Source organism: Homo sapiens, chromosome 3 (assembly GCF_000001405.40).
Source record: "Homo sapiens chromosome 3, GRCh38.p14 Primary Assembly".
Classification (NCBI taxonomy): domain Eukaryota; kingdom Metazoa; phylum Chordata; class Mammalia; order Primates; family Hominidae; genus Homo; species Homo sapiens.
Window position 1 is genome coordinate 154309496 of NC_000003.12, and position 23041 is coordinate 154332536.

A 23041-nucleotide genomic window follows, 5' to 3' on the forward strand; every position below is an offset into this window, starting at 1 on the left:
TTTTGGGCTTTATTATTAAACATGTTAAGCAACTATTTGCTTTCATAGTCACCAATCCTAAGCCTAATTAAGAATCACTCCACACCTTCAGAATCAGTAGGTTCTAGCAAGATTACTTTTAAAAAGACAATTTTTAATAAGTTAAGAGATTACTTACTGAAATGGCACTAATTCTTCTTGGCTGAGTACAAACTATTCTGCAAGCAGATCCTTTTCCTCTTTCAATGTAGTTATCCAAAATGAACTGAGTAACTTGAGTGGTTTTGCCACAACCAGTTTCACCACTTATTACTGTTACCTGATGGTTATCAATTAAATTTACCAATTCCTATTTCAAAAGGGAAAATAAAGAATATCACATGTTGACTAAGTCTGAAAAAAGATATTAATCAAAATTCGACCAAACTGAACATAGCTATTTTTAACAAACATATTAATGCTTTCTAAATTTTGCCATATCCAATACTGGCAGTTTGGATATCTGGATCTACCAACCTGCAAGAGATAAGTGCACCAAATTATAAAGAACAAAGCCAAAGCACTGTTAAAGAAAAACATATTGACATAAACAAGAAGAGACAGCTTATAAGTTCCATGGAGAAGAATTAAAATAATGTTGATATGTGGGGCTACTGAGTACAGAAGCAAACTCCTGGCCTAAACAACTATTGAGGACATTACAAATTTATATAATTCATAAATATGGCTTTGTCTGCAGAACAAGTTTTGTATGCCATTTTAGGAGCAAGGAAGAGAATATTGTATTTTAAAATTACTTCCTTTCAAATAATTAAAATAAAGTCATTGAATATCTAAACCAAAGCTATCTAGAAAACCTCATATTTGGGTTTCATTCTTCCTCAAAATTGTATACATTAATATTTTTAATAATAATATTCACTGTATAAACGAAGTCATCTTACTACCTCAAAGGGATGTTAGGGGTTATTTTCATGTATAAAACAATTTAACTTGAAAACCTACCTTTTAAAAATTCCCCACTTAGGCCGGGCATGGTGGCTCATGCCTATAATCCCAGCACTTTGGGAGGCTGAGGTAGGCGGATCATGAGGTCAGGAGATTGAGACCATCCTGGCCAACATGGTGAAACCCCATCTCTACTAAAAACACAAAAATTAGCTGGGCGTGGTGGGTGCCTGTAACCCCAGCTACTCGGGAAGCTGAGGCAGGAGGATCGCTTGAACCCGAGAGTCGGGAGTTTGCAGTAAGCCGAGATTGCGCCACTGCACTCCAGCCTGGCAACAGAGCAAGACTCCCTCTCAAAAAAAAAAAAAAAAAAAAAAAAAAAAAATATATATATATATATATATATATATATATATATATATATATATATGTATATACATATATATATATTCCCCACTTATTCTAACACATTATACATACATAGATGTGTATATATCAGAAAAAGTTTTAAGTTTGAACACTGAAATTATAGCTGGTAAATACTCAGAAGTGAAATGTGATTCATCCAATCAGAAGTTTATTTACTGGAAGTCTTTAGAATGCCAGGCACTGTTCTGAGTCAAGAGACACAGAGTGAACAAAACAAATCCTATCCTCAAGAACTTACACTGGCCTGGGAGGGGAAGACAAACAGATGTCAGGTGGTAACAAGTGCTATGAAAAGTAAAAAATAAAGTAAAATAAAATAAAATAAGGTTGAGAAAACAGAGAAGGATGAGAGATCCTATTATTCTACATAGGGTAATCATATGTTAAGATATAGTGTAATAAATTAAAATTAACTGTATTTTTAGTAGTACTTTTTTTGTACATTGATTTTAATTAATACAATAATTTGTATATTATTTTTAACTGAAGTATTTGGTCTTGACTTAACTGCAAGGTATTTATCCAAACTAACTTATAGGAGGAAATTTTACTTTTTAAATTTCAAAGATTTCAATTATGGACAAAAACAGGAGCAAACATGAGGAAAATTGTTTATGAACCTTTTTTTTCTTTTTGTCCTTAATTCAAAAGAATAAAATTAACTTCCAATACTATCCTGTAAAAGAAAGTTCATTAATTTACATTTTTTCTTGATATAGAGCTTTAAAAAAAATTGTGTATTTAATTTGCAAATCAAATTAAATAGTGGAAAAAAGCACTTTACCTTTTGCATTCCATACGAAGGCAGCTTTTCTCTGAAATGCTGAAATTTAAAAAAAGTTTTAAATTTTCACAGAAGATATGTAATCAAATTATAATCATGGTATTTAGGATACATCACAGGGTAAATTGGCTAGAATCCGAAAGTATTTTTATTATCTCATGGCTTGTGTAAAAACATTATAAAGAATAATTTACCAATTCCTTTTATGTCTGAAACATTCAAAACCAGAACTCCATTACATCCAGCAAAATAGAGACAATGCTTTAAGTCAGTGGCAGTAAAATGAAATCGGATCTGTCCTCTAACAGTATTCTAATAATTGCTAAATTACTTTCACTATTTTTCAATATGTTTTATATATTCATCTTAGATTTGATTTCTATATTATGTTTTTCCCACCCAACAGTGCACTATTTACTAATACATTAAGTACTGGAGCAGAATCAAAAATTTCAGGATATACTTGCCTTTGAGTGTAAGAGAAAACTTAAAACAAGTAATATCTGCAGTCAGAAAATCTGGTACTGCCATTTTAGAGCTGTGATCTCAGTTAAGTCAAACTTAAAGTATGAATGCCTCAAAGATTTTATCTCATACGGTTGCCACAAGATCTAAATGAAAAACCTTTATATAAAAAGCAAATACCAGTTTCTGAAACATATAAGCTACTCAATGAATTTCAAATGTGTTAAATTACAATTAGAATACTACAAAAGGAATGACTATTTTTCCTATATTTATGTGACAATTTCTTCCTAATTCTGAAAACTTTTATGGAACTCTATACCCGTATTACATAAAAACATTTAAGAAGCAGTCCTGTAGTTTACATTCAACTAGGTACATATAATGTAAAAAAAAAACTTCAGTGGCATAAAAATAAAGTCAGCTTTAATAAACACCCTTTATTAAGATGGAAAAAATCGGCTGGGTATGGTGGCTCACGCCTGTAATCCCAGCACTTTGGGAAGCCGAGGCAGGCAGATCATGAGGTCAGGAGTTTGAGACCAGCCTGGCCAGCAAGGTGAAATCCCGTCTCTACTAAAAATACAAAAAGTTAGCTGGGCATAGTGGCACACGCCTGTAGTCCCAGCTACTTGGGAGGTTAAGGCAGGAGAATTGGTGGAGGTTGTGGTGAGCCGAGATCGTGCCACGGCACTCCAGCCTGGGTGACAGAGCAAGACTCCATCTCAAAAAAAAAAAAGGAAATAATTAAAATATATATATATATATATATATATATATATATATATATATATATATATAAAATAAATAAAGAACTGTCTTTGGTAATCTAGTATTATATTATTGCCATGTTTGTTATGGTCAGGTAATTCTTACCAATACCATAAAAATAACAGTCAATGTGAAGACTGAAATGAATTCTAGTCATTTAAAATAACAAAAGCTACCACACTTATCTTACCTTGTAATAACTTACTTATCTTGTAATAATTTTTAAATTATCTAAAAACTATTTTTAATGACATAAGTATTAACACCCCAGGTAGTCAAATGTTACCATCTTAACACATAATTATACACAAGCTATCCCACTGCATTTCAAACTGGCATTAATCGTATTTGCTTTATACATGTAAATGCCACTGGAAAGAGAGGTATAGTCCAATATTCTTTCCCAAGGCAGCCAAAGTTTCTACTTTGTTAACTTTTGACCATAACGAAGATGTGAGATAATTCAACTATAAGCTCTCTGAGGACAGGAAATATCTTATTACTCTTCAAAAACAGTAATAAGCATAACTGGCTGGTGTGGCTCACTCCCATAATTACAGAATTTGGGGAGGTGGAGGTAGGAGGATTGCTTGAGCCCAGGAGTTCAAGACCAGCCTGGGCAACAAAGCAAAACCCTGTCTCTACAAAAAATACAAAAATTAACCAGGCGTACTGGCACATGCCTGTAGTGCCAGCTACTCAGGAGGCTAAGGTGGAAGGATCACTTGAGCCCAGGAGGTCGAGGCTGCAGTGAGCCATGATGGCACCACTGTACTCTAGCCTGGGTGACAGAGTGAGACCCTGTCTTAAATATATATATATACATACACGCACACATATATAGCACAGTAACTGGCATCCAGTAAGTAGAAAATTAATGTTTATTAAAGAACATAAAGAAAAAATATTGCACATGCTAAAAATGATTAAAAAGCTGAGTTGTTAAACACAGCTGAATTTTAGATCTGATTCTGTTATGAGCTATGCAACCTCAGGTAGGTCACTTAAATCTTTTTCCTCATCTACAACAGACATGTAGTCTCTTATTCAAGGTTGTTGAGAAGCTTAAATAATATAGTACACATGAAGCATTTATGACAACATATGGGAAATAGGAAGACCACCAACTTTTTAAATGTTTTACACATTTTTCTTTCTCTGAACTAGATCAATCACCCATCTTTAGTATATGAGTTCTGTCCATCATATACAGCAAAGAGAAAGACACTAATTCCTCCTGTTAAGGCTGTTAAAGCAGCTCTTCTCAACCAGAAGATTCTCAATTAATTCATCCTGAAATTTCCTCCATTTTCAAATCACATTTTTACCCAACAGGCATCAAAGAGCTACACAATTTGGCCCTGGACAACCTCAGCTTATCTATTCTAATACGGAAATCCAACTGTCATCAGTAACAGTCAATGGATCCTTTCTTTCCTATTAAGGAAATTCAGCTTTCATCAGTGAGCCAAGGGATCCTTTCTTTCCTATAGGAGGTGCTATATCCTTCCTTTATCAAAGACAGCAGTATGTATTTACATATTAAAGATATGGCCCTCAGAGTTTCCTCAGTAATTTCTCTTAAACATATACATACATACATGAGACCACTTTATTACATCTCTAGAACACCCACAAATCACACAATTTTATGTTTTAACTGAAAGGGACCTTAAAATATCTTGCCTAGCATAGAAAGAAAATATCAGAATTCAGGAGATCTCAGGTGTTGTGATAGTCCTGTATTTAAAATGTTAGTGAACAAAGCACATCACATAATTTTTGAAATATTTAATTTTATCATCTATAAAAAGAAGATGTATTAAGTAATCTGGAACAAGCTTTACAATTTTAACTGCCTTTACTGCACATGGCACCTCACTAAACTGGCCTAGAAAAGCTGAAGAGTAAGTTTTTTTTTCATTGGCACTAGCATTTCTCAAACATTTCTTCTCACCACATAAGCTTCTGTGGATGAGATAGGATACTGTAGGTTATGTGTAACTTCCATTCCCACTGCTTTTCTCTACCATTCGAAAAGAAATTAATTCCCACAGGGATGTCTTGTTGAGGATCTCACTGATCTATGCCATGCAGCTACCTCTAACCATACATACATTTTTATAAAGTGTAAGAAAAAAATGACAAAATATTTTTTGACATCTTTCTACTACCTGCATTTCAATATACCGAAGGTCATTTTTTTTCTTTTGTAAATCTTCCAATAATTTTTGGTCTAAAGTTCCATCTGGTTCATTTTCTTGCAAGAGATACTCAGAATCTCGGTCAATATATGATCTGTTCCTGATTCTAAACATTTTTTTTTCTTGATTTATCAACTTCTTTTCCTGGATGTCAAGTTTGTTCTCTGAGCATGGTGTGTTCTTAGTAGAAACTTCAGTACCGTATCTGTTTTGACAAAATAAGAAAGGAAGAAAGGTCAGATGAGCCACTCAAACACTGGAACAAAACAAAACAAAACAATACGCTGTTGAAATATTTCAAAGTCATCCAAATCCAAAGCTTTTCTTTTCTCTTAGTACAGTAATTATGAAAATATACTTAGATTCTTATAATAAATTCAAATTTTTCTTCCCTTTAAATAGATATTGCCAGATTAAGTTATTCCTTGTGATAGTTAAAAATAAAAATCCACAGAATAGTCATTCCTTCACTGCGGTTACTTACAGTGTTTCTCTTTTTCTGGATTTCTCGAACTTGTTTTATGTCACAACATCTTTTTTTCTTGCCACCCTTTCTGAGCTACAAATAGGATGCTACAATACACAGTCTTTGAAATACTTGTACTAATTTTTCCTCTAAATGATACAGTTCTTGTAATCTTTCTAAAACGGTAGCAATTTCACTTCTTGCAGATCTCCCAGACAGAATAATTTCATAAATACAAAGAGGACAGGTAGGGAGAACAATAAATAACAACTTAATACATCTCATATCCAGATACACTATTATTCATACCATTTAGCTTTCCTATGGAAACATGCCATCTAAATTTTTAAAAGTCATTTTCTAAATCTGTTTAATCTACATAAGGAAAAAAAGTACGTAAAGGTTAAAATTCACTTATCGAAGAAAATAAAGATGTTATTTTTATTATTAAAGTGTTACTCTTTGCCTATTCTTTAAAAAAATATTTCTTGTCGTACCCATGATCCTCAGGAGCAAACCAGGATATCTGTGCTTCTGACTCTTTATCATTCTTCGCTTGAACAGAATTCAGTAACTGTACAATTTGTTCTTCTCGTCGTTCATCCATGTGTACTACAGCTCTCTAGTTTGTGCAAAGAAAAAAGCATCCTTGTCAACATAAGAAAGCATATGCAAAAATTATTTGATACTGAAGAAAATAAAGGCTAAGTAATATATGTTCAACAAATACATATAAAAGAAAGTTATCCACAGGTGTCCTCTAGCCCAATACCCCCCTTCCTAGACCTAATTAATTGTTAAAATTTTCGTACATATCCTTCTAGACCTTTTCCAACAAGCATTTATAAAATTAGCCCTAATATGATTGGCAAAGAAAGCTCATTTATGTCTCTTCCTACAACTCTGGTTCTCTTACCCCAAACCCTCACATACTAATTATTATGAATTTCTCCTTATCTTAAAATTTCAAAGTTATTAAAACTCAAATGGTTTACGAAAAAAGTTGAAAACTGGAAATAGTTTGGTTGTAATGAACATTTGAAAGTTCTTACACTAAACAGAAGAATAAATTGGTAAGTAAGGCTGAGCTCAGAAGGAGTAAATAAAATTCATCAGTGCTTATAAGGTGATCCAATGTGGCAAATGACGCAGTTGCTTCAAAGAATGAGAATAAAACACAACAGACTGGACAAATATAAAGGTCCTTGGTGAACTATGAAACTTTGCAGAAACTTTACGCATCTAAGAAATGTCCAAGGTGAAAAAAAAAAAAAGAGAATGAATGCCAAAACCCAATTCTTTGGAGACTTTTATATTTAGATATAGTAAGTTGAAAAGTTGAAAAACAGATTCTTCAAAATTTATGGGACTACAAACCTTAGGTTCTAACGTGCATATAAATCCACAGGCAAAAGGAAACACACGCGGAGTGGTGAAAATTAGAGTGTGTTAGGTTAAAGAACCAAAGGAGGAGGAAGGTAAAAGTATAAATGGAAAGAAAACAGTCAAAAATCGAAAGAAAGAAACCACAGGACTTAATGACTATTTGGTGGAAGTTGGGGAGAGACAAAAAGGAAGAAAGAATCAAAGAACTGTTTTCAAATTCAAGGGTGGATCCTGAGAGAGCAGCAGTAAGATGAATCATTAAAAGGAAGCTGCTCTGTGTTACTGTACATTTTTGTGTACATGTGGTGGTGATGGAGGTCACAATAGGATGCTAAGTTTGGATTTTAGGCAATTAAGAACAAAGATGAAATTTCCCGACTTGTAATAATGACTAGGTAGATGAATATATGGAAATTGATCTCTGAGAGGTTTTGTTTTTAGAGTTATGATAGAAATTTTGGAGTGTTCTGCAAAGTTGAAATCACAGAGACACAGGAATTCTCTTAATTTACAAATAATACCACCTCCAAAGATGAGGACAGACGGATGACCAAGTCTGGCATTCACGGGGCCAAGGCAAGAAAATAAGTCAGAGGAGTAATCAAGAGAACAAACAAAAGACTAGGAGCACACAGTGAGAAAACCACTCCTATGAAGTGAAGAAAGGTGTTAAAAAAGGACTCAGAAGTATAAAATGGACGTAAGTAAGGCAGAGAACTGAAAAAATTACTACTGTATCCAACAACTAGGCAGTTGGGAATGATCTTCAAGGTATTTTTGGTTTTTGAGGTTTGGTTTTGATTTTTGGGGAAAAAAGAGGGAAGCAGGAGCTAGGGTAAGGAGACTGATGAAAGCAGACAGCAATGTGTAAAATACTGTAAAATCTAGAGCAATAGATTTCAATTGTTTATTTTTTATAGCAATCCACAGTAAAACTAATGACCCAGTACACACATATACAAGTAATTTCACAAAATACTTCCCTTACTCTGTACAGTGCAACTCTTATCTTCTCTTCACTGTATTCTATCCCAATTAAACAAACACCAAAATAGCTGGTCACAACAAAGTTTAACATAAAGTTTGAAAACCCAGGGTGGGTAGAGGAGTATGTGTCCCAGGAGAACAAGACATAAGCATCTTTAAGACAAGAGACAGGGTTTTGTAAGACATTCTAATTCTAATCAGTATTACATGCTTTGTGAAAGCTCAAATAAGTTTACATGGGTAGGAGGATAACCTAATGTAATAAATATGAGAAATCAGTGATAAAACAACAAACCTGAAGAAGCAAAGCAAATGAACTATATGTTACCTCCTTTTTTGAAGTGAAAATGAGTGGCTAATTTCAGTTGTCAGGACATAAAATGTCTCTACTAAAAGTCCTCTTAAGGTTTTTTGATGTATCTGTTTAGTTAGAATATAACCTATATCTGCTATTCCTACAGTTCTCACTTTTCCATGTTAACTCATTACTCTATATTTTGTTTAGTAAACAATTTCCTAGATTGACATTTCACAATACATTGCCCACTTCCTGCCCGTAACAGCACAAAAGATTATTCTAATTTTATGAGATTTCACGCCCCCGGAAAAGGTGAATTACTGGATAACATAACAGTCTACTGAAAATAAACAGATCTACACAATCTTCCAGTCCAAACTATCACAACAAAATTCATTTTCATTAAAAAGTCAACATCAGTTGGTAGACTTTAAGATACCTTACACAATGCATATGTACCAAGTAAGCATCTGCTAATCAATAAGGAATTAGTTGAATTGTAGTACACCCAGTGGTTAACAGTGGGTAGATCTTTCTGCAAGTATATAAACAGGAAAGATGACCAAAGTATTAAATAAGTCAGTTGTGTAGTAGGATCTTGTTTTTATTACTATTAATTTGAAAAGAGGTTATTCACTCTCCATATCCTATACTTCTTGCAGTGTCTCTGCCAGATATAATTCTGGTACATGGTATGTGCCCCAGAGAAGTCTGTCAATGGAAGGAATGAACAGCTGAATCTTTTACAATGAGCATGTATGATTAGCCCTTGAAAATGTAATTTACACTCTAAATAAAAACATTTGTATTTTTAATGATGTTCTCCCCACAATGAGTTTCTGGATGCTGCAGGTAGCAGAGAACATACCTTAATTCCAAACTTGGATCTTGCCTTTTTGTAGGATGCCTCTCTCCCCCTCAACAACCTTCTTCTAGTTCTACCACGCTTCACTTTATTTCACTCCTTGCCTGGAGAATCTCAAAACACATTTTTTTCATGACTATTTTCTTTTATCATAGAATTTTGATTATTTCCCACTTTCTTGGACATTCTCAAATACCCTGCTTCTAGTTTTCAGTTCCTGGCAAGAAACCCTAAATGATGTCCATCAAATTTATGTTATCAGCTTTCTAATTATCTGCAACTACTTCACACTGTCTCCCCATTCTCTGTAACAGGCCAATACCACCCTTTTGTTTGCCCTCAGCATTCACACGCAGTTTTTCACAAAACAAAAGCCCTAAGAAAAGGTCCTCAGTTGGTTATCACCAAACCTAAACCCGCCTGTATCAGAATTTATCCTTTTCTCTTTTCTTTCTTGTTATAAAAGAAGTGCATTTTAAAGGCTAACCCCTCAACCTGAGCTCTGCAGTCCAGTTCCTTTCATGTCCTCAGGGCCACCTCCTTCACTGAAATTTACCTTGCTTTCCTAAATTTCTAACCTCTCCAGTAGACATTAGGCAGTCAACCGATATTCTGGTTTGCTTCTTTTAGTAATGTGGTAGAGAATCAAACCTTGCTTGTTATAAACCATTAAGATTTGGGGGTTGGTTATTACTGCAGCATAATTTGGCCCACTTTGATTTGCCCACTTTGATTTCCTCTTCACTGGGTGCTTCCCTCAGGGCATGAACATGGTCAAATCTCTTCACCTTAAAAACAAAAAACCCTCTCGTGAATTCCCCTACCCCTATCAGCTACGGCACTATTTTTCTTCCTCATCTTCACAGCAAAACTACTGGAAAATGTTCCACTTCTGAATCTCTGTTTCACTTGCCACCCTACCGCAATCTGGCTTTTACTTCCACAATGCCACAGAAAGGACTCCCATTAAGATCATCAACGACCTTGTTGATAAATCCAATAGACATTCTCTGCTCTTACATCATTTGTGCATGCTTGCCACTATCAATTACTTCTTGTTGATACGCTCTTCTCTCCTTTAAACACTACTCTTAGATTTCAAAACAACACACACCTTATTTTTCTCTTCTCTAGCTGATCTTTCCTAGATTATTTTGTAACCTTCTTTTCCTCAGCCTGTCCTTAAATTTTCATTTTCCGTATTTGACAGCCTGAGTGATCTACAGACCAGCAACACTGGCATCACCTGGGAGCCTGTAACAAAAGTCGAATCTCTGATCCCACCAGTGTCCTACATTTTAACAAGATGTCAGGTGATTCCTATGCACATTCAAGTCTGAGAAGCAATGGTCTATAGAATTCAGGCTGGGCCCACTCTATTTCTGACTGTTCACTCCCACACTCCAACTACTACCCATGAGCCCATTAACTGTCAAATACTTATCTCCAGTCTAGATTTTTCTAGGCATCAGATCTACACAGCCCTCTCCCTCCTGCAAATCCTCATTTGTATGCCCTATAACAATATCAAACTCATAGTGTCCATAGCTGAGCCTTCTTCCAACAAGCCTGATCCTTACAGATAGGCATAAAAGAGTCATCATTAACACTGTACTCGTCCCTTCAGATAAAATACATCACAAAATCATTTTGAGTCTACCTCCTAAATCACTTTAATCTGTCCACTCCCCTCCATCTCCACTGCCAACGTGCTAATTCAAGCTGTCATTTCTCACCTTAGTTACTGCAAGGGCTACTTCACTGGTCCCCCTGAACCAGGATTACCTCTCTTCAATCCATTCCTTATACTGCTACCAGAGTGAATTTAAACATTTAAAATCCAGTCATTTCATTCTTTGTTTAAAATGTTTTAATGACTTGCTACAGTCCTTAGAAAGACTCAATGTATCTCAAGGCCCCGCGTATTTTTCTAGCCCAGAGATTTTCAAATTGCTGTTTCTGAAATTATATTAAAGGATCATGACCAGCATTAATAAAAAGAGAACAGAGAAGTTCAAAAGCAAAAAAACCTCAAAGCAATGTGCAGATAATTAAATATTATTTTACAAAACTTTTCATCTAGTTATACATATGTGTGTACTGGGTTGTAAATTCAAATACATTCCTTTTTGGGCAAAGTGGCCAACAAGTTTGAAATTGACTGCCCTAACCTCATCTCAATACACTCCACATCCATGTTCTTATCTTTTACAGTTTCTCGAACTGAAAATGTGCTTCCTTGATCTCTATGTTATGGCACATGCTACTGCCTTTGCCTGGAATCTTTTCCAAACCCCAAACTTCAAACACACACACGTACATTCACTTTGTTATCTTTCAAGTTTCAACTTAAGGGTTACTGTCCCTGAAAAATCTTCTAAAATACCTTGCCCTGAGTTAGGTGATAGCCCATATTCTCTAATACCTTAATACTGTATTCTATTTATCGCTCCAAACACACCACAATCTCTGTAGAGCCTATATCTATTTTATTAATTAATACAGTGCTTAAGATACTGTCACAAAAATAATGTCCTCAATAAATATTTGTTGAAAGAACATTTGTTCAAGAATGCATCATTAGAATGCATTCATTTTCAGCCAGGCGCCATGGCTCACGCCTGTAATCCCAGCACTTTGGGAGGCCAGGGCTGGTGGATCACCTGAGGTCAGGAGCTCAAGACCAGCCTGGCCAACATGGCAAAACCCTGTCTCTTCTAAAAATACAAAAATTAGCCAAGTGTGGTGGTGCACACCCGTAATCTCAGCTACTCAGGAAGCAGAGGGTGCAGTGAGCCGAGATCACACCACTGCACTCCAGACTGGGCAACAGAGTGAGACTCCAACTCAAAAAAAAAAAAAAAAAGTCTTCATTTTGAAAACACATGACATGACTTTAAAAGTGAAAGCTACCGAAATTCTGACTGGGAAACAATGATATCAAGCTAAAGGTGGTCAAAGAAGAGCTGGGACGAGCCCATTGAAAAATACTCCTATTTAAACAAGAAAGAAAGGTACATTTTGGACAGGAGAACAGTATGACACTGTAATGAAAAGTAAAAATAAAGTATGCCTAAAAAAACTATAATTATATCAGACTGGAGACATGGGCTCAGAGAAATGTGCACAGCGGTAAACCTGTTACGTTGAAGCCGTATTACCAAGATTTCCAGAGAACATGTCAAGATGCAACTGAAATATATCAGACTGAGACAGAAGTGACATGACTTCCAATCTGAAGTTGTGAATTAGGTAATAAAATGATCTAATTTTTCCTTTTAAAAGATCACCATAGGCGGCTCTGTAAAGCACAGACAATGCAGAGCAAGAATGGAAGCTAGATGACTAGTTAGAAGGCAAGAACAGAAAACAAACAGTGGCTTGATCTATGGTAACTATTCTGGAGGTAAGTGGTTAGATTGGGATATATTAACAAGGCAGAGATTTGCTGAAATGAAGGGGAAGAAGCAAAGATAAATCTCATTTGGCCTTGCCAAGTGAATAAATGGTCGTGTCACCACTAAAAGGAGGATGGGAACGCAAGTAGAAATGAAAAGTTCCATTCATAACATCCACTGCACAACTGGCTATACCCTTCATGTGGAAACAATAATGAACATTTTTTCCTGACTTATTTAACTTTTCATCTGTTTAGGTATTATTTTCTCAGCTAGACTGTAAGCTCTTTGAATACCACATTTCTTCAAGTCCCTGGAGCAATATGCATAAAACCTTGTTTCAAACAGAGCCTTAATAAATAAAAGTTGTAAAGTTACTTAGACGTCCGTATCCTGATTTTCAAGCCAGTATGCCCAACGAAAAAGTTAATTTGGGGCTGTAAAAGAAATGGATTTGTTTTTTAAAGAAAAGTTTAAATTATGAAGATAAATGGATAAGGCCCCCAAAACACCTGAATGAACATGACATGGTTAAAAGAAATAAAAAGAAATGGAACGGTTTAAAAATAGTAGTCTAGGCCTGGCGTGGTGGCTCACGCCTGTAATCCCAGCACTTTGGGAGGCCGAGTTGGGTGGATCACCTGAGGTCAGGAGTTCGAGACCAACCTGGCCAACATGGTGAAACCCCGTCTCTACTAAAAATACAAAAATTAGCCGGAGGTGGTGGCGGACGCCTGTAATCCCAGCTACTCGGGAGGCTGAAGCAGGAGAATCGCTTGAACTTGGGAGGCGGAGGTTGCAGTGAGCTAAGATCGTGCCACTGCACTCCAGCCTGGGCGACAGAGTGAGACCCTGTCTTAAAAAAAAAAAAAGTTGCCTAAATGATGATCTAATTACACTCTATAATACATTTTATAAGGTGCTTTTAAAAAGTCACCAAAGGCCTATACTAAGAAAGTTCCTGCTTAATGATAAAAATTATTTTTTATTAGAATTTTATTTACTAGTCACTCGGAGAACTTTGTTTCCCTTACTACAGATCTTTAAGACACAAATCAACCTGACAATCACCTGAAGAGAGGAGAGTAAGCCAAATCATCTCTGGAGATTCCTTTCATTTTCCTTTTCAAAGAGAATCTGCTCATCAATAGAAATTTCTCCACCCCAACATAAAAAACAAAAACCTAGGTTTGCAGATAATTTTAACACTAATAATAAAAGCTGGACTATTTTTCTGAATGATCCACATCCAAAACAGTGTCTGCCTGCTTTTGTTCCGCGCAAACCTATCTCAAATGTAGAAAGGTCGCTATGTGCTTCTTCACCAGGCAAAGACCTTAAAGTGACAATTATTATTCTAAGGGAAAGGACGGCCAGAGATACGACAACGACACTCCTAATAAAGTTAATTTCGGTTGGAACGTGAACTTAACATTTGCTTTGTCACAGTTCTCAAGTCCTTTAAGCAAAGTATATATTCAGCCTGCATAAATCCTGCCTGTTTTTGGTCAGATGAGCATGGCTAATGTTACGCAGTACACCCGCTACGGGGAGCGCCAGCATAATATATTTGCGCCTCATTTACATTTCACAAAACACGTGCATCACTTAAGAAACAAAACCAAGAAAAAGGGGGCAGCGGGAGAGAGAAGAAAACCTGTGCTGCCTCATCCTCTCCACTACTGAATCCGAGATTACCTCTTGCCTCTCCGCTTCCTTGTTCTTCTGCCCCTGTTTTTTCGCGTACCACATGCCGATTTCGCGGCCTTTCAGGTGCCCGGGATGCCGGCCCCTGCCGCCTCGACCACCCCCTCCGCCGCCGCCGCCTCCTCCGGAGCCTCGGTTACCTCCATGACCCCCTGCTGGCCCCCCTCCATAGCCCCCACCGGAGCTGCGGGGACCCCCATCACGGCCCCAGTTCTGATGGTAGTCATAACTCATTGTCCTGGCAGACTACAACCCGTCAGAACCAGCAACCGCTGGAAATGGCGTCCGGGCCCGGAAGCCACTGTGCGCCCACTTCCGTTTTGCTTCCGTAGCACCGCACAAGAGGGCGGGCCATTTAGCGTCACAAGCAGTGGTTTCTGGTGACGTCACGGGAGGACGACCCCGGTGGTCTGGAGGGTGGCAGGGATCAGGTTCTGTCTGAGCCCCCGAGTTGTTTATCTTTGTACCTCTGGAGCAACAGCCAGCCAAAGGCTCGTAGATTTTCTTTCCCTAGGCCCAGCAAGTGAGCCAATAGCTTTTGGTTTTTACTTTCTTATTCCTGGTAAATCCGCAGTTTTTTTGCACTTAGGTCCTAGGGTAGTAAACGTTGATTGAAACAAAAGAACCCTTGGATCAATTCGCCGTCTTCTAAAGAAAAGTCTCTAAAAAATGAGTTCTTCTAGTCTTGAAAACAGCCTGACAACTATTCAAATATGTAATTTAAAATCCCCTTACCTCCTTGAAAGTGTTGTCACTATTTAGTACGTTTATCCAATAGTGTTAAGATGAGCGTGTCTACCCAAATTCGGTGCAGAGCTCTTAGGCAATGTAAATAAACTACTTTGAAGATTCATGTGTTCATATGAAGCCACATACTGTTTATTAACCAGCACACTGAGTGTTTTGTACAAGCTGTTCTTGAATAATCAAGTAATTGGGCCACACAGGCTTGGATGTACACCAGGAGATATCCAGCTCATGTTACAGTTAACTGATGTAAAGGTGCTGGGAATACTCACTGAACAAAGCAAGTATGGCATGAGCTTTTATTTGCCTACAGTCTTAAGGGAAAGACAAAGGCTATCTTTGTGCAGTGAATTAAGAAAGGGAAATGCTGTATGCCAGGAAGGGGTCTACAATACACCATTGTGGCCTAAAAATTATTTTGAGCAAAGACATTTGAGTTTCTGAAATCTACCTGTCTAAATGCAGAACCACACGGAGGAATTCAAATCAAGCTCCTCCCTGGGAGGGAAACCCAGGAAGACTGACTCTTATCACTGGAGGTTAGAAGCTGGCAACACACTTGAATAGACATTGTCACAAAGCTATCATATCTGGCATCTGTTTTAAGGTGTCATTTATTTTTACTAAAAGTCATTTGTTTTTTCCATACGTGCTGTTTTCCCCTTTCCTTCCCTTTATAAGATGGTAGATAAGTCAGAACTCTACCTCCCTGAATCACCTTTTTCTGTGAACTCTATTATGTATGTGGTTAAGTCTGTCTTTTCTTTTGCTAATCTGTTTTGTCACTTTAAGTCTGGGGCCTGCAAACACTGAATCTAAGAAAGTAGACAAAAAGTATTTCCTCCCTAAGAGCCAAGAGATACTACAGCAAAAGAATTTAATTTTGGAGTTAGGTGAGTTATGCAACAACTTTTGAGATAAGTAGACTTTTGCCAGACTAATGGGCAGAAGAAAAGTATGGCAGGTGAAAGGAACAATGTGTAAAGACAGATAATGATGTGAGACATCGGAGAACTTAAAACAACTACCCTGAATCTTAAAGCCTGATGGGGAAGGCCAAAGAGGTAGATAGGGGTCTGATTATGGAAAACTTATGTGCCACTTAAAGAACAGTGATATGTTTATGCAGAGCAGTGGTTATTTTGACTGCTTCAATTGGAAATAAATAGCGGAGACAAGAGTGGATACAGGGAAACTAGTTAATGTGATGTAGGGGAGGCAAAATGGGATGACAGGGCATTACATGTGGAAAGAATTGGAATCAGGAGACATTAGAAGATAAAATTACTTAAATTTGATGATTCATTGAATGTGGAGAATTGGAAGGGTTAAACGACTCCAAGTTTAAGATTTGAATTATTAACCCATGGGGAGGCACATTGTATCCTGAGATGAGAAACACAGGACAAGGAACATTTTGGGGGTGAGGGGCAGGGCAAGTTAATGTGTTTTATTTTTACATGTGGACTTTGAGGAACTTATGAAACATACAAATGGAGTATCTAGAAAGCAGGCTGTAAGAGTTAAAAGCACAGAGGCCAGGTGTGGTGGCTCACACCTGTGATCCCAGTACTTTGGGAGGCCAAGGTGGGCAGATAACTTGAGGCCAGGAGTTTGAGACCAGCCTGGCCAACATGGTGAAACCGTCTCTACTAAAAATACAAAAATTAGCTGTGCATGGTGGTGCATGCCTGTAATCCCAGCTACTCAGGAGGCTGAGGCAGGAGAATCACTTGAACCCAGGAGATGGAGGTTGCAGTGAGCCAAGATTGTCCCATTGCACTCCAGCCTGGGCAACAGAGCTAGACTCCATCAAAAAAAAAAAAGAAAAAAGAAAAGTTGAAACGTTAAAAGTACAAAGAGAGTAGACTGAAATTATATGTTTTGGGAGTCCTTGGCACATGTGATTAAGGCCGTAGGAATGAATAGTTTCTATAAAAGCATCCCAATTGGGCACTCCTGATGTGAAAAATATGTCAACTGTCTAAGAGATGAGATTGAGTAGGCATACTGAAGATGATAGGGGCAAAGTGGGAAGAAAATGGTGAGAGTGTTATGGGCTAAATCTTTGTGTTCATGCAAAATTCATGATGAAGCCCTAACTCCCAATATGGCTGTAGAAGAGGCCTCTAAAAAATGTAATTAAAGCAAAATGAGGTCATAAAGGTGAGATCCTGATAATAGGTTTAGTGCCCTTTAAAAAGAGACATCAGAGAGCTTGTTCCTCCCTCTCAGACGAAAGGCCATGTGAGGACAAAACAGCAGCCATCCATGCTCCAGGAATAGCTCTGTAAACCAAAAATACATTTTTTTTTTTTGAGATGGAGTCTCACTCTGTTACCCAGGATGGAGTGCAGTGGCACAGTCATGGCTCACTGCAGCCCCAACATCCCTGGTTCAAGTGATCCTCCCACCTTAGCCCCCTAAAGTAGCTGGGACCATAGACGCGTACTGCCGCACCCAGCTAATTAAAAAAAAAGATTGGTAGAGATGGGGTCTTCCTATTTTGGCTGGTCTGGCCTTGAACTCCTGGGTGTAAGCAATCCTCCTGCCTCGGCCTCCCAAAGTGCTGGGATTACATGTGTGAGCCACCGCACATTGCCCCAAAATAAAATTGGAAGCCCTCCCAACCAACTGAATGGACCCGTCCTCTAAGCCAAAAGCATCCTAAAGTAAACCTGACTTGGTCAGGCCATGATGGGAATGGGAGGTTGGACATGCCTCATTATACCTTCCTTCCTTTGGAATCAGGTACAGCTGACCAGTATTAACATTGAAGCAGAGACCTTAAGACTGACAGAACAGACTCTTTGTAGCAATATGATGTCAACATAGTAGTAGGCCCTGAAAGAAAGCATTTTACCCCAAAATATATTTATTTGACATATTTTGAAATGGCCCTTCAAAGCTGTCTCTCATGGGGAAAATCTACATTCTGTAGAGAACCTCCTTCCCCCTTTCCATTTCTTCTCCATGATCCAGAAGAGGATTAACTAAGAGTCTGGAACCTTTTTAAGTTGAATAAGAAATATTTACAATCTATTCTTTCTGAAGCCTGCAACCTTGGAGGTCTTATCAGCATAATAAGAACCTTGGTCTTCACAACTCCTTATCTTAACCCAGACAGTCCCTTCTGTTGTTTCCAGGTGTTTAGATAAACTCTTTCAATCAATCAGGAAATCTTTGAATTCACCTGTGACCTGGAAAACTCCCTCCTCCTTTGAGTTGTCCCACCTTTCCAGATGGAATCAATGTGCATCTTACATGTATTGATTGATGTTTTATGTCTCCCTAAAATATATAGAACAAAGCTGTACCCTGACCACCTTGGATACATGTTCTCAGTATCTCCTGGGACTGTGTCATGGGCCATGGACATTAGCATCTGGCACAGAATAAATCTCTTCAAATGTTTTAGAGTTTGACTCTTCGCTGACAGCTCTCATTAGGAACTGGATTAGCTGGCACCTTGATCTTGGACTTCCTAGTTTCCAGACTTTAAGAAACACATTTCTGTTGTTTTAGCTGCCCAGGCTGTGGCGTTTTGTTATGACAACACAAACAGACTAATATGGAGAGTCAGAGGGGAAGAGAATTAGTGTTTATTTGTCACTTAGCATTTGCTAGGTATTAGACTAAGTGGCAGGCATTTGTGGCAGAATAATGGCCCCAAAGATGTCCTTGTCTTTTTTTTTTTTTTTTTTTTTTGAGGTGGGCTCTCACTCTGTTGCACAGGATGGAGTGCAGTTGCATGACCATGGCTCATTACAGCCTCGACCTCCCAGACTCAAGCAATCCTCTCACCTCAGCTTTCCAAGTAGCTAGGACTGCAGGTGTACACCACCATGCCTGGCTATTTTTTTTATTATTATTATCTGTAGAGATGAGGTATTGCTATGTTGCCCAGGCTGGTCTTGAACTTCTGGGATCAAGTGATCCTCCCACCTCAACCTCCCAAAGTGCTGAGATTACAGGTGTGAGCAACTGTGCCTGGCTGAGATGTTCATGGAAACTCCCTGGAAACTGTGAATATATTACATGGCCAGGGCAAAGTAAGGTTGCTAATCAGCCGATGTGATAATTAATTTTATATGTCAACTTAATTAGGCTAAGGGATGCTCAGAGAGCCAGTAAAACATTATTTCTAGGTAGGTCTGTGAGGGTGTTTCTGGAAGGGATTAGCATTTGAATTCATAGACTGACTAAAGAAGATCGTCTTCATCAATGTAAGTGTGCTTCATCCAATCCATTAAGGGCCCAAGTAGAATGAAAAGGTGGAAGGCTAATTTACTCTCTCCTCTTGAGCTATGACATCCATCTCCTGTTCTTGGACATCAGCACTGTTGGTTCTCAAGCCTTTAGGCTTGGATTAGAACTACACCACCAGCTTTCCTAGGTCTCCAGCTTATAGAAAGTATATTGTGGGACTTCTCAGTCTCCATAATCATGTGATCCAATCTCTCATGATATAGCTCAGTTTCTGTGTATCTATATCTGTCCTATTAGTTTTGTTTCTCTGGGAAACCTGATGAATGCAGCTGACTTTAAAACAGGAAGATATCCTGAATTATCTGGGTGAGCCCTATGTAATCATAAGGGTCCTTAAAAGTGAAAGAGGGTGGTAGAACAGAAGGTCATAGTGATGTGACATAAGGATTTGACTAGCTGTTGCTGGCCTTGAAGATGGAGGAAGGGGTCACAAGCAAAAGAATTCAGGCAGCCTCTAGAAACTGGAAAGAAAATAGATTCTCCCCCAGGGCTTCCAGAAAGAAATACAACCATACTGATCCTTTTGCAGTTCATGAGCATGATGATTGGGTATTCGTGCACATGTGTGAGATGTGCCACCCTCGAACCTTGTTATGACATCGGCACATTGCTCATCTAACAGGAAGAAAAATAAATAAATAAAAAGAAATACAACCATATTGACCCCTTGATTTTAGCCCAGTGAAGACTCTTGTCAAAACATTATGCTACAGAACTGTAAGATAGTAAATTTGTGTTAGTTAAGACTGTAGTAATTTCTTATGGCTACACTAGAAAAGTAATACAATTCCTTATCTCATTTCACACAATCCTCATGACAGCCCCAGAGAAAGTTAGTGTTATCTCTATTTTCTGATAAATTGTTTTACTGCCCTTCGCCTCATGTTTGCTGATCCTAAGTAGATTCTTAGTTATAAATGTAAAATTACTATGTTTTCCATACTTCTTCAGCATGAAGTATTTAAGGTATTGCTTGAGCCTATTCCTTTAGGCAAACACTTTAGTACAAATGTCACTGTAGTAAAAATCTGCACAAAAGGAAGATTTTCAACGAAAGACCTGAAAGATATTGATGGGAAGGAAAATGTCAGTTGTTACCTGCTTTTTCTTTTTTCCCTGCCTTGATCAGAACTGCGAAAATTTTTACATTACCTAATGCCAGAAAACAAACAGAATGGTTCATTATAATTGCCATTGTTTCTCTTACTGGTCCTCTGTTGTGTGCTGTTCTTTGGGCAGGCAACAAAGATGTCTCTCTCAAATGTCCTCTTCATTAATGGTGGCCTGGGCCACAGAATGCATAGCCACTGCTTTCAAACCCACAGCATTTGGTGTCCAGCTTCTGTTCTCCCTATCACACCTGCCATTGCATCTGGAATGCAGCAAAGGTGAGCCACACAGAGCCACACCACCACTGGAAACTGTCACAATTTTCTCAGTTTCAGGGAATCTTTTCTTCTTCATCTTTTTTTTTTATCTGTACCCTGGGAAACAACTCTTATATAACTTATTCATAGGTGTAATATTCACAAAGGCATGGGGGTGAAGGAGATTTTCTTCAGTGTTCTTGGAAAATGAAATCTTTAACTTCTACTTTCACTTGGAGGTGGGGATAGGGACATGAAGATAAAAGTGACCCTACCCTTCTATAGAATATAAAGTCTGGCTATGGGCTGGAACGCCTACACATAGCCTCTCCATTTGGTTTCTCTGTGTGGCCTAGTTTGAGCCTCCTCACAGCATCGCAGCTGGATTCAAGAGCAAATGTCACCAAGCAAGTTGGAAGTACATGACATTTGACATCTTTATGAACTAGTCTCCAATGTCACATAGCATAACTTCCACTGTGTTTTACTAGTTGAGGCAGTTACAGATGTCCACTTAGGTTTAAGGGTGGCTAGGGCCTTAGCACACCGTGGGAGTAGAGCCAAAGTCACATTAGAAGAGCAGGATGCAGGAATTAGAGACCAGCCTGGGCAACATAGGGAGACCCTGCTCTACAAAAAATCAAAAATTAGCCAGGCATCGTGGTGGAAAGCTTGTGGTCCCAGCTACTTGGGAGGCTGAGGTGGGAGAATAGCTCGAGCCCAGGAGATCGAGGCTGCAGTGAGTGCATTCATGCCACTGCACTCCAGCCTGGAGAACAGAGCAGGACTCTTGTCTCAGAAAAAAAAAAAAAAAAAGGAAGAAGAGGAAGAGCATGTGGGATGGAAGGAAAACAATTCTAAAATAGCACTATCCTAGGTGAATCAGATATTTGTTTGAACAAATGCCATGTCTGCCTACTAATTCCATCTGTTTCCCACAAAAAGGAAAACAAAAATTGTGACTTCGTGAGGTCATAGGATTTCAAGATCCACATTAAAGACCCTCTTGAGAGATTTTCATAACATTTTCCTTTTAAAACTACAGAATCTCATTAAATTGGTGGATTTTCCTCACCCAATTTAAGCATGCAATCTTAGATCTTAGGAAAAAATATTGTGAAAGAGTGCTAAGAAATTTTATTTAATGAACAGAACTTTTTAAATTTAAAAACGATAATGAAAATGTAAGGCCTAAAGTTTTCAGTTAGCAAGTAGATAATGTAACTTTGCCACTCTAACTAGGCAACCATGGCTTTGTCTAAACTCTAATATTTTTTGACCCTGACATTAGAAAGTTTCTGGGGCTGGGCACGGTGGCTCATGCCTGTAATACCAGCACTTTGGGAGGCCGAGGCAGGTGGATCACTTGAGGTAAGGAGTTCAAGATCAGCCTGGACAACGTAGTAAAACCCCGTCTCTACCAAAAATTAGCTGGGTGTGGTAGCAGGTGCCTGTAATCCCAGCTACTCAGGAGGCTGAGGCAGGAGAATTGCTTGAACCTGGGAGGCAGAGGCTGCAGTGAGCCGAGATCGCACCCCTGCACTCTAGCCAGAGCGACAGAAGGAGACTCTGTCTCAAGAAAAAAAAGAAAAAAAAGAAAAAAAGAAAAAAGAAAGTTTTTGGAAGTTGTATTTCTACTAAATGGTAGAGAATACAATTTACCTCTGAGGCATGTTTTTTCCCTTATTCTTGAAAAATTACCCAGTGAGACTATGCATATGTGAAGGTAGAGCAAAGATCCTCCTCTGTAACAAAGTGTTGCAAAAACGACATGCCTCCGGATATCTAAACTGCTCTATATGACATTGCAAAAGATTGTGTTCAAAGTTTTTTTGTATTTGGATCTTTGACTGCTCAATTCCGGAAAGTGACTGTGTATTCTTGAGAGGAATGTATGTTTCTATGCGTGTGTATGAATGTTTGTGTATGTGTATTCTCTATGTATTTGAAATTAAGACTTCAAGACTGTAG

At 38.0% G+C, this 23041-nt stretch overlaps 1 protein-coding gene and 1 non-coding gene across 3 annotated transcripts in view, besides 1 other annotated feature; one reads left to right on the plus strand and one right to left on the minus strand.

Annotated features, from left to right (window-relative positions):
* The window catches only part of DHX36 (DEAH-box helicase 36), a 51942-nt gene extending 36950 nt beyond the window's left edge, over positions 1-14992 (minus strand). For both annotated transcript variants that reach the window (NM_001114397.2, NM_020865.3), the window contains exons 1-5: positions 14679-14992; positions 6544-6668; positions 5551-5785; positions 2141-2179; positions 158-328 (exon numbers count right to left, since the gene is read on the minus strand). In NM_001114397.2, coding sequence (NP_001107869.1) covers positions 158-328; positions 2141-2179; positions 5551-5785; positions 6544-6668; positions 14679-14921 — 813 coding nt within the window. In that variant the 5' untranslated portion in view covers positions 14922-14992. The remainder of the gene's footprint in view (positions 1-157; positions 329-2140; positions 2180-5550; positions 5786-6543; positions 6669-14678) is intronic.
* Positions 14885-15179: an enhancer, noted in NCBI's record as "tiled region #7914; HepG2 Activating DNase unmatched - State 1:Tss, and K562 Activating DNase unmatched - State 1:Tss". NCBI's record gives its function as "activates a minimal TATA promoter and a strong SV40 promoter by Sharpr-MPRA in HepG2 and K562 cells {active_cell/tissue: HepG2 | K562}" and the evidence as "EXISTENCE:reporter gene assay evidence [ECO:0000049][PMID:27701403]".
* LOC124906350 (small nucleolar RNA U13) lies at positions 20221-20324 on the plus strand. Its single transcript, XR_007096317.1, has one exon. It is a non-coding gene; the product is annotated as a small nucleolar RNA U13 (small nucleolar RNA).
* Positions 20325-23041: the final 2717 nt, after the last annotated feature.